Source organism: Homo sapiens, chromosome 6 (genome assembly GCF_000001405.40).
Source record: "Homo sapiens chromosome 6, GRCh38.p14 Primary Assembly".
Taxonomy (NCBI): Eukaryota; Metazoa; Chordata; class Mammalia; order Primates; family Hominidae; genus Homo; species Homo sapiens.
The window spans coordinates 163,548,339-163,561,216 of NC_000006.12; the positions used below are offsets into that span (position 1 = coordinate 163,548,339).

At 39.4% G+C, this 12,878-nt stretch overlaps 1 protein-coding gene across 8 annotated transcripts in view; it reads left to right on the top strand.

Moving 5' to 3' along the window:
- QKI (QKI, KH domain containing RNA binding) overlaps positions 1-12,878 on the top strand; it is a 163,875-nt gene that overhangs the window by 133,621 nt on the left and 17,376 nt on the right. The window lies entirely within an intron of this gene.

Sequence of the window (12,878 nt, forward strand, 5' to 3'; positions counted from 1 at the left end):
GTTTGCTTTTCATAGTAAAAATGGAACCTAAAAACACATTCATGTAAAATCTTCCACAAGTCACTTACCCCTTTTTGCCTCATTTTTTAAATCACCTCATTAGGTTGCTCTGTTCTAAATCAATTAATATCTATATATGTGTGATGGTCATACACATACGTAAGCCTACCCAAAACTATTAAATTTTACACTTTAAACAGGTAAATATTGTGGTATATAAATTATGGCAGTAAAACTGTTTTTTAAAAGATTGTAATAGAACATGGTCAGTTTGGTAAGGAACTGAAAGAAGGTATGTGTGACCAGAGTGCAGAGTGAGAGAGATTGAGGTGAGGTACCCAGTGAGTAGACCTAGCATGTTTGAGGATATTGATCTTATCTGAAGAGGACTGGGCACTACTGAAGAGTTTTAAGAAGTGAGCCAGGTTTATTTTCATTTTGTCAATATCACTCTGGCTACGAGGTGAGAGAACATCTTAATGGGCCAGAGTGGATGTGTGAAAGGAGACCCGGAAGGTGACAGTTGAGTTAGAACTGGGCAAAATAAGCAGTTATTTAAGTGGTAATATAGACTGGATGTGGTGAATGGTGATTGACTAGAAGGTATCGTTTGTAACTCCAGAATTCTGACTTGTATAACTGGATGGATAGTGCTGTATTCACTGTAATTATAGAATATGGTTGCTGACTGGGTAATTTATAAAGAAAAGAGGTTTAATTGACTCATAGTTCCACATGGCTGGGGAGGCCTTAGGCAACTTACAATCATGGCGGAAGGCATCTCTTCACAGGGCGGCAGGAAAGAGAATGAGTGCCGAGCGAAGAAGATTTGACCAGAGAAATGTGGGAGGAGAGGCCAGAGAGGTTGAGGGGGGGGACATGAGGTTGGTGATGATGAAATTTGAGCAGAGCCAATGTCTCATTTTCCTTAGCAGTCCTGGAGGGGATATGCAGGAAGTATGGACAGGAAAGGGTAGGAAAAGGCTTGTGAACATCCCAGAGAAAGTGTTCTCCTGCACTCCAGTGCTGTGAATAACTTAAGACTCAGTAAAAGACCAACAGCTAGAAAACTTACTTCCTGAAAACACTGCGCTGGGCATGGTGGCTCATGCCTGTAATCCTAGCACTTTGGGAGGCTGAGGCGGGCGGATCTCTTGAGGCCAGGAGTTTGATACCAGCCTGGGCAACATAGTGAATCCCCATCTTTACGAAAAATACAAAAAATTAGTTGGGCATGGTGACGCACACATGTAATCTCAGCTACTCCGAAAGCTGAGGCACAAGAATCATTTGAACCCAGGAGGTGGAGGTTGCAGTGAGCCGAGATCGTGCCACTGCACTCCAGCCTGGGTGACACAGTGAGAACTTGTTTCAAAAAAACAAACAAAACAAAAACATACTACATGGTGTTCTTTACTTGTCTGTGGTTTTTAAATGAACATATATTAGTATGCAATTGTAGTAATGTTTCACTTTGTTATTCTCTACCTCTTAAAGAAAAAATTACCTTCTTTTACAATCTAACACACTACTTTTTTAACAGGTGTTTTAAGCATCTGTTTGTATTTGTTGAACAAATATTTCTTAACATTGTATATACCAGGAACCTAATTGTATACTTTTCAGAGTTAAACTATGCAATCTGTTCTTCAGTAAATGAAGCTTTGACCGTGCAGTCAAATCCATTAAAAGTTCTTCCATGGGAAATTAGGAGAGTTTCAAACTCACAGTGTCTTAGTTTGATTTCTGTTCCTTATAACAATACCTGAAACTGGGTAATTAATAAAGAAAAGGAATTTATTTCTTTGTTATGGAGGCTGGGAAGTCTAAGGTCAAAGGGTGGCATCTGTGAGAGCCTTCTTGCTGGTGGGGACTCTGCAGTGTCCTGGGGCAGCGCAGGCACTACATGGTAAGGGGGTAAGTGAGCTAGTGTGTTCGCCCAGGTCTGTCTTCCTCATCTTATGAAGCCACCAGTTCTCTTCCTGTAATAATCCATTAATCCACTAATCCATTGAGGGACTGATGGCAGAGCTCTCATGATCCACGTTGAGGATTAAGTTTCAACATGAGTTTTGGAGGGGACATTTAAACCATAGCACATAGTAACAAAGCTACTTTTTCTTACAGGAATTTCAGTAATCAGAGATTTGGGGGGAAGCTATGTGGCTATTATTATAAAACTGAGTTCTAACAGGGCAAATCCAGAGTTGAATTACTTCTAACTCTGGTACCACAGCAGTTGCCTTTTTTTCACCACTAACAAACTTTCTTAAATATACGTACGAAATATTTAAAGCACCAGCCACCCCAACAAAGAGCTGCTTATGGCTGGGCGTGGTGGCTGACGCCTGTAATCCCAACAGTTTGGGAGGCTGAGGCAGGTGGATCACCTGGTCAGGAGATCGAGACCATCCTGGCTAACACAGTGAAACCCCATCTCTACTAAAAATACAAAAAATTAGCCGGGCATGGTGGTGGGCGCCTGTAGTCCCAGCTACTCAGAGAGGCTGAGGCAGGAGAATGGCGTGAACCCAGGAGGCGGAGCTTGCAGTGAGCCAAGATCGTGTCACTGCACTTCTGCCTGGGCGACAGAGCAAGACTCTGTCTCACAAAAAAAAAAAAAAGCTGCTTCTGTTGGAGGACAGGGGCATCGATCAAATTTTAACCAATAATGGCCAGCCAATGTGAATGTTATCTAATTCATTGATTCCTGATTCCATTTCTTATGAAAACTAGTATGTTAGAAAAATACCAGTGCTTGCATATCTGTGTGCATAAGGATATAGGAAAACACAAAATCAGTTTCTCCTACTATACTCTCACAACACCGAGTGCTTCTGTGATCTATGGTCATCAAAATTTGTAGGGATTCCTCCTCACCACCAGCAGCCAGTCAGTTCTGACACCAGATTCCTCAGCAGACACCAGCTGGGTGTCCTCCGATTTAATCCTGTTCTGACGCTGTCCACCTGGAGATAGCCTTAGGTCCCACAGGTTGAGGGCTCCAGTTCCACAAGATGTCTCCCACTTCAGGCACCAGTCACAAGTAGTAGGTGGTAGCCCATACTTCTTCCTTACCTTACTTTATTCTAGCTTAGCCTAACTCTGAGGTTCAAGATTTTAGTCAGTAATTTGTGTTGAAGATATCATTAGACATCTGATGAAACAACAAAGAAAAAGAAGATGGGCAGCAACCAAAATTAATTACCTCCTCTGGTGTTACCACCATGACTACATCTGAAAATAGTTTGGGTATAAGTGAAAGTAGCAGTCATGACATAAAATTGTTTTAAATGCCAGGTAGTTTTCTACCGCTACTCTTCTTTGAGGTTGTCAAGGTTGTGCTTGATAGCTTAGAAATCTCATGAATATCTCCTGGTGAAAAGCATTTACTTTGAGGAGTCAGAGTCACTTTGAAAAGTACTTCATTACTGTGATGAATACATTACACAGCATTACCTTGGAAGTCTTGTAAGAGCAGTTGGAGTGAATTAACAATTTAATCACATATCTTCATGGGTAAGTTTAATACTCACAGTTAACTCCCTAAAATTGTATGCAACATTTTTTGCTTACACAGTTGACTTTTGACCATAGTAGGGATTAGGGGAACCACCCCCACGTGCAGTTGAAAATCCACGTATAATTTTGACTCCCCAAAAATGCAGCTCCTAATAACCTGCTGTTGACAGGAAGCATTACTGGTAACAGTTGATCAACACATATTTTGTATGTTATGTATATTATATACTGTATTCTTACAATAAAATAAGCTACAGAAAAGAAAATGTTATTAAGAAAATCAGAAGGAAGATAAAATATATTTGCTATTGAAGCAGAAGTGGATCATCATAAAGTTCGTTCGTTCTTTTTTTTTTTTTTTTTTTTTTGACAGAGACTAGCTCTGTTGCCTAGGCCGGAGTGCAGTGACAAGATTTCAGCTCACTGCAAGCTCCACCTCCCGGGTTCATGCCATTCTCCTGCCTCAGCCTCCCAAGTAGCTGGGACTACAGGTGCCCGCCACCACGCCTGGCTAATTTTTTGTATTTTTTGACTAGAGACAGGGTTTCACCGTGTTAGCCAGGATGGTCTCGATCTCCTGACCTCATGATCTACCTACCTCGGCCTCCCGAAGTGCTGGGATTACAGGCGTGAGCCACCGTGCCCAGCCTCATAAAGTTCTTTATCCTAATCATCTTCATACTGAGTAAGCGGAGGAGGAGGAGGGGTTGGTCTTGCTGTTTCAGGGCTGGCAGGGGCAGAAAAATGTCTGTATAAAAGTGGACCTGCATGGTTCAAGCCCATCCATATTGTTGGAAGGTTCAGCGGCGTACTCATATATGTTTTCTAGAGAAGGAATCTATAGTTACCGTAAGATTCTTAAAGCTGTTGTGATTATTTCCCTAGGCCTTTTCATTTGGTCTTCCACCGCAGCCTGTGCAAACTCCCATCATAATCCCAGTTGCACATCATTTATCTTGCTTTACCTTTCTATCTCAGTGCTCATTCTGAATATGAATGAGTTTAATATATTTTCACTTTCAGAACTTTTTGTCAGGCAATCATTACAACATCTTTTAGGTTCTGCCCACCTCTAAGCCTCCTCACCACCACTCCCGCCACAGTGGGTATACTTTTCTTAGTTTTTGCCTCTCTGTCCCACCTCTCAAAACTAAGAGATTTTTAGATAGTCATAATTTTCAGGTTCTTTTTTTTTTTTAATTTTTATTTATTTATTTATTTATTTATTTATTTATTTATTTATTTATTTATTTATTTTTTGAGATGGAGTTTCACTCTTGTTGCCTAGGCTGGAGTGCAATGGCACGATCTCGGCTCACTGCAACCTGCACCTCCTGGGTTCAAGCGATTCTCCTGCCTCAGCCTCCCAAGTAGCTAGGATTACAGGCGTGCACCACCATTGCCAGCTAATTTTGTATTTTTAGTAGACATAGGGTTTCACCATGTTGGTCAGGCAAGCCTCAAACTCCTGACCTCAAGTGATCCACCCACCTGGCCTCCCAAAGTGCTGAGATTACAGGCATGAGCCACCATGCCCAGCTCAGGTTCCTATTTTTTATCTTCTTTTGTAGAACAAGGCTCTATTAAACTCCCAATTGGTATTTATATGTCCCACCTTCCAGCCCAACCATATCATCTAATAATATCCGTCTAAAATAACAATCAACTTTGGAGGTGTTTTTTTTTTAATCTATAAATTGATGTGGCTCTACTAATGCTAGTATGTAGCCGGAGTTGTGAATCATATAAATCCTTCAGAAGTTTATCATGCCTGTTAAGATTACTATTACTATTAATAAAATCACAGATTGTATCGTATTTAGCATTAGAAGAAGTAAGTACTTATTATTGAGACTTGGCTTTTGTTTTTCTGAGATTGTTACTTTTCAGTGGATCTGTTTATACCTTGTTGAAGAGAGGCAGAACATATTGTCCTAAGGTACAAATCTTTGTTAGTTTTATATAGTTTTAATGGAGGAGGAGCATCATATTTGTGTGTGTTTGAGTGTTTTAAGCTTTTCTGGTTAAATAAAGTGCCTGACACTTTCCCTCTACCTTGCTTTATGTGTGGAAAGTTGTTGATTGGTTACACAGGTATTGAGAACTGAAAAAGGAGAAAGACAGGCTGTAATACAGATTTAGAGACTGCAAAAAAAGCATCTTTTACCCCAGGGCTGGAATAAAAGAGAAGAAAGCCTGTGTAATGATGAAACCAAGACCCTGGCTTGGTGTCTCTCAGCTACTTCAAGAACCTCAGGAGCTCAGAGGGGAGAACCCTAGCTGGCTGCTTCTGGTGTGCATGGAGGGAAGGGGCTGCACGATGAGACTGGTTCTAGAGGTGCTGGGAAAGAAGCATGGAGCCAGGAGACAGCTGCCTCTGGCAAGTGCATAGCTGAAAGGAGCGCACATGGGAAAGAGAACATCTCTTTCCCTCATCCAGCTCTTCAGGGTCGGCTGCTTTACACCCACACTATGCCTCAGTTCTGAGAACCTCACAGAAAACCGGCTGGCAAAGAAGTAGTAGTTGTAGAGCCCTACACTTAAGCATTGGAAAGCATATGGCAGTTCAGTTTGGAACTTAGTAACTGCCACATCATCTTGGAGAAAAACTCAAGAAATATGAAAGCATATTTTTCTACCAGCTGTATAGGATAAGTTGGAATAAGTTGATCAACCAGATGAATATTCAGCTGTGTACCTGACATCTCCACTTAGGTGTTTAAGATAAGTATTTCAGATGTAACCTTTCAAGAGAGAACTTCTGATTCCATATTCCTCAATTTTTATCTCATTACATGGAGCCACCGTCTACTTTATTGCTTAAATCAAGAACCTAAACAACATTGTTCAATTTCTCCTTTTCCCTTACCCTCTGTGTCCAACTGATCATCATGCCTTGTCAGGTTAACATAACTCTTTTCATCTCTGTTACAACCTCTACCCCAGTCCAGTTCATCCTCTCTGTTGCCTGGACAATGTTAAAGCTCATGACCTATCTCAGTAATCACGCTGGCGCCCCCAGCAGTCCATCCACAAAATAGCACAGTGAGGCTTTAAAGACAAATCCTTTTTTGTCACTTCCCTCTCATAAACCCCTTTGTTTAAGTCAATCAAATTATCTGTCATCTTCTGTCTGCCAAAGCTGTCGGAGCAGATCAAGGTGGTAATTGGCATCAAAATTCTTCATAAAATGTGGTCACTCATCATTTTTTCTTTTCTCTGATATTTGTTATTCTTCAATTAAATTAGTCATGTATTTTTTTGTTTGGAAAACCTTTTCTACCCATTATTTCAAATTTATAGAAAACTAATTCATTTTTTAAAATATGTTGAGCACATTCATTTTTGCAAGGCTTTGGGGGTTACAAGGAACATGGGTTTATTGGTTATTGGTTAGTTTATGGATACAATTCATGATAAATTTCTTTAAAAATCAAAAAATAGAAAAACTGAGATAGCACATGGCTATATATGATTGATCACCCCAAAAATAAGCAGCATGAATTTATAAAAGCAAGACCAGTATGCGTGAGAGTTCTTAGAAAAGCCTGCACTCAGGAGAATCGCTTGAACCAGGGAGTTGGAGGTTGCAGTGAGCCAAGATCACGCCACAGCACTGAAGCCTAGCGACAGAGCGAAACTCCAGCTCAAAAAAAAAAAAAAAAAAAAAGCCTGCACTCTGAGAGAAAACGATGATCTGTGTTATTGAGGAACACATAGGATGCTTCCAATAGGAGCCTAACTTGGAGAGGAAAGTACCAGGTCTACTCGGGGATTGTGGACAGATGATTTTGACTAATGCAAAACATTTGCAAGCAAGGTTGCTCATGTAAACTGTTCAATGCCCTGAATGCTGGAGAATTTGGGCCTTTGTGATAGGCAGTGGTTCGAATTATTTTTTTAGTTGACATAGTTTTAATGATTTGGAAATACACATTTGTTTCAGCTCTCTGGTGATTACTTTGTTGTAGTTTTTTTTTAAAAGTATATAGATCTAAAAATACTAAATAAACATGATTTTCTTACTTTCTAACATGTGGTCTGATGAATTCAAAAGATACTTCCACTTAAAGGCATCATAAGACTGGAGAAGGTATAATGTAATGGTTAAACATGAGGACTTTGAATCAGGTATTCTGGGTTGGAAGCCAGGTTTGCAATGTGAACTTTTGTGGCTTTGGATAAGCTGCCTACCCTGCCTGAGCCTCAGGGATAATGCACTGCCAATACCACACATTTGTTAGGAAGCGTAAATGATTGGATAATGAAGATCTAGTGTCTAAGTCTAGAAAAGTTGAACAATGTATAAATTACATTAAACGTGACCTGTTTGTATCCTTTTAACATAGCTGTTAAACATAGTTGATGATGGCTGGGCACAGTGGCTCACGCCTGTAGTCCCAGCACTTTGGGAGGCCGAGGCGGGTAGATCACCTGAGGTCAGGAGTTCGAGACCAGCCTGACCAACATGGTGAAACCGCATCTCTACTAAATACAAAAAATTAGCTGGGCGTAGTGACATATGCCTGTAATCCCAGCTACTTGGGAGGCTGAGGCAGGAGAATCCCAGGAGGCGAAGTTGCAGTGAGCTGAGATTGCACCATTGCACTCCAGCCTGGGCAACAAAAGCAAAATTCCACCTCAAAAAAAAAAAAAAAAAAAAACAACAAACAACAGAAAAGGCATAGTTGATGACATATCTATATCTTAATATGCATAAATTAAAATATATATATTTATACATACCCATAATTGGTCATCCTTAATTGCAAGCCTCCAGAAGTTCAGAAAACTGTGTTTATAGTTGCTTCACCCCACTTAGTGTGAGTATTTTTCTGTTTGTTACGGACTGGATTATGGGCGTATCCCCCAGACTCTGCTGGGTGTTATAGAATCTGTGGTGTATTATCTTTCTATAAATCTGAAAAACTCTGAAATTCTCAAGGCACTTCCCCGATACCACAGGTTTTAGCTATTAGCAGGAGTGTGTTCTATTTTTGAGCTTTTACATTTCAAAAGTAAAGACATTCTTTGTTGTGCTTTAATAATCTTTCCATAATATTTTCCATACAAATACAAGGGAAATATTCATCTGCCCTATGACCCAGCAACTCTACTCATAGGTATTTATCCAAGATAAATGAAAACTTATATTTGCAAGGAAGCCTTATATGAGAATTTTCAGAGTGGCTCTGTTCACATATCCAAAAAGTGGAAACAATCAAATGTCTGTAGCAGAAGAATAGATAAATAACATACTACTCAGCCATTAAAACAGATGAACTACAGCGACATGCAGCAATATGGATGAGTCTGACAGCTGTCATACTGAGGGAAAGAAATTGAACACAAAATATTATATATGCCTTCATTATCCGAAAATCTAGTCTAGGCAAGTTAAATCAGATGGATGGTTAGGGCTTGAGGTACAAGGAGACTTTCTGGGTTTGTGGAAATGTCCTGTGTCTTCAATGGAGTACTATTTAGCCATAAAAAAGAATAAGATCCTGTCATTTGCAACAACATGGATGAAACTGGAGGTCATTATGTTAAGTGAAATAAGTCAGGCACAGAAAGAATCTTCACATGTTCTCACTTTTTTGTGGGAGCTAAAAAAATTAAGTCAATTGAACTTATGGAGATAGAGTGTGGAGCGATGGTTCCAGAGGCTGGGAAGAGTGGTTGGGAGGGCACAGTGGGAATGGTTGACGGGTACGATAATATAGTTAGAATGAGTAAGATCTAGTGTTCAATAGCACAACAGGGTGACTACAGTCAACAATAATTTATCGTACATTTAAGAATAATTGGATTGTTTATAATACAAAGAAAGGATAAATGCTTGAGTTGATGGGTACTCCATTTACCCTGATGTGATTAATATGCATTATATGCCTGTATCAAAATATCACATGTACTTTATATATACATACACCTACTGTGTGCCCACAAAAACTTAAAAAAAAAAAAAGAAATATCGTGACTGGATATTGCACTTAAGATCTTGGGAGTCCACTGCATGTGAATTTTGCTTCCATTTTTTAAATGATTCTTGAATATAGGGCAAATACTTAGGAAACCAGAAGCTATGAGATTGCGGATAATCACTTGAGTTCAGTATTACAAAATATGATTTTAATGACCCATTTTACAAATGTAAAAGTTAGTGTTCTGTCTCTGTAGAGTTGCTCATTCCCGATCAAGGTTCTGCAGGATACTTTGTGAACTATCTGGAGTTGACATGTACAACTTCAGGATGCCCTGTTTGATCAGTTGTAATTTTTGAGAAAAAAAGAGGTCAGAAAAACTGGTCTGAAGACTGGCTCATAGAAGCTCTAGAGCCTCTAGACTGTAGAAGAAACTTAGTTTTCTCATCTGAACTTATATTTGAAAAAGAGGTGATATATACCTTCAACAGTGTTTAGGCAGGTACGTACTACCAAATCTCATTGTCAAAACCAGGACAGTAACATTGAAATAACCACTTCGATGTGAAAGTAATTCTATAATTAACCCTGTTGTCTCTTCTTTTTTTTTCTTTTTCTTTTTTTTTTTTTTTGAGACAGTCTCGCCCTGTTGCCTAGGCTGGAGTGCAACGGCGCGATGTCGACTCACTGCAACCTCCGCCTTCCAAGTTCAAGCGATTCTCTTTCCTCAGCCTCCTAAGTAGCTGGGATTACAGGCACCTGCCACCACGCCCAGCTAATTTTTGTATTTTTAGTAGAGACAGAGTTTCACCATGTTGGCCAGGCTGGTCTCGAACTCCTAATCTTCATGATCTGCCCACCTCAGCCTCCCAAAGTGTTGGGATTACAGGCGTGAGCCACCACACCCGGCCAGTGAACCCTGTTGTCTCTTAAGACACACAAGATCATGCCCTGTGAATACAGAGTGGAGGGGAGTGGTCAGGACATGAGGGTGAAGCCCATCCTGGACTGAGACCACCTAGAATCAAATTCCAGCTCTGCCAACTAAATCCTGTGCATTTCTGGGAGGCATTAGTGTACCCTGCCAAAATGTGGCTGTGATCTGGTGTAACATACCATCACCTCCAGCAACACCATATGGCAGACTACACCAGGATCTCCTCCTATGCCACTCTTATTTTTATTCTCTTAGGGTGATCTCTCCTGTTTTCATTATCCTGCACCCTGCACATTACACAAGTGTGCACACACAGTGGTAATCACACACATTTCTTCCATCTTTTTTCTCTGTGGTTTTCTCCCTTGTTTGACACTCCATTGCCAAATAATGAATAGCTATTTTGCTATCCAAAAGGAGCAGTTCAGTGCCAACATGTTTTCAAGCACCTGCCCTTCTGCAGGAAACTCGTCTTTCGTCTTTATTTCCTCTTTGTTGGAAGTAAATTTGCCCTCTTATTTGCTGACATTTTCAAACTTGTACCACTTCTTTCTCGCTATGGTAGATGACTGGAGGTAAACCTACTGCTCTTCTTTTTCTTTTTTTATGTAGAGTATAATTTATAATACTTTTGGTATTCCATTTTTATATATAAATTTAAATTTGAAACTTTTGATAAGTTTTAATTTTCAAATGACTAGTTTTTAGCAAATAAGTTGAAGTTTTATTATAATGGATTTGATTCTTCTTTTCCAATAGTAGCTTACTTATTTCGTTTTTAACAAATAATTTCTGTGTCTTTCTAAGATCATACTTACTTTTTGTTCATCTTTGTACAAGTTGATAGGAGTCAAATTCTACAGGCATGCCAGTATCCACTCCCTGTAATCTTCTGCAAAGTAGGTTTTTAAAAAGTTGGCAGTAGCACATCAAAACATTGTCTTTATGTTTCACTCATATTTTTCTTTAATTCTTGTGATTTACTAAAAGCTCACTGAACAGTTCTGTTTACTATATATTATAGTATACCATTCACCATTGTAATGCCAAAAACAGAATTTTGTGTGTCATTACAGCTATAATAGAAAGGAGCACTGAGAAGCCTGTGTCCTGGTCGTCCTTCCCGTTTTATGAATCAGAGAGGAACAAGACTATGTCAGAAAATTGTTGCATTGTGTTACTTTCATTGTAAATATCACAAAGTCATGTAAAGTTACTGGGATTCGATGATACATAAAAGTGGGGGGCAGTTAGTTCTATCTCTACACAGACTTTGATAGATGGACCCTCATCTACTGCTTGCTTTGACTGTGGCTAAAGTTTATGTTGGACTGAGACATTTGGGATTTGGAAATAAAGTTAAAGACTTCTCATACCAGTCACTTATAAGTTCTAGTAAGTAACTTGGGGGTGGCCGTGGGAACATGGGGTTAGGCAGTGGTAACAAAGAAATAAGCCCTATTCTCATGGAGCTTACTTTGGGAGTGGTGATACTCAACAGACTGTAATTTGAAGTAGAAGCAATTAACTTTGTCGATAGGTTCTTGGAGATACAACTTTAAACAAAATGAGTATATTGCAGCCTCTTTTTTCATCAATGTTATAATGAAACCATGTTGAAAGCAGTGGCATTATTTGAGGACCTGCTGTCTGTCGTTTCACTTAAAGTTAGTTTTAAAGAATGTATTGACCACATTAAGTGAGGATCTACTGTAATCTAGGGATGGCCCCTGGAGAAGGAAGGTAGCATTTAGGTTGAAGTTTGTGGGGATGGGGATAGGTAGGATTTGGAAAGAGAGAGGGGCAGAGAGTGCGCAGGGGAGCACTTAGGATGGAGGAAGTGGGAATATGCACAGAGATGAATGGTGGAGAGCAATCTGGTTTGACTTAAGATGTTACTTACATACGTGTGTAAAGTAGTAGGTTAATGGGCTTAACTTGAGAGGATATTTTGGGACCAGATTATAGGCAACTAAAGTTTTTTATATTTTTAGATAGTAAGAAACCATGAAAGTGTTTTGAGACAGAATGTTGAGAAACATGATGAAAATTGTGATTTGGGCAATTAATCTGGCCTTTGTGTAGAGATTGATTGGAGAACAGACACCATTAGCAACATGTTTTAGTAGTTTGGGTGCTATGCCAAAAACAACTGGAACAGTAAATGGAAAGAGTGGGACCAATTCAAGGTAAATGGGGTGGCCAAACATTTTGATGATTAGAGACTATCCTGATTTAGGTTTGAAGCATGGTTATTATTAGTGCCCATTTTTGCTTTTAAAAGTTTTCTGCTTTGGACAATAAATCATATGGTGACCCTAAAGATAGATTGCTGTAGCATTGATAGCACTTGCTAATTAGATTGAAAGGAGACAGGGATGGTGGTGTAAGAGAGCAGAATATACGGTTTTTTAGAAGTTATTATTTCACTGAGTTTTCATATTTTGAAGAATTAAGCATAAAATTTCCTTACCTAAATTCTGTAATCAAAT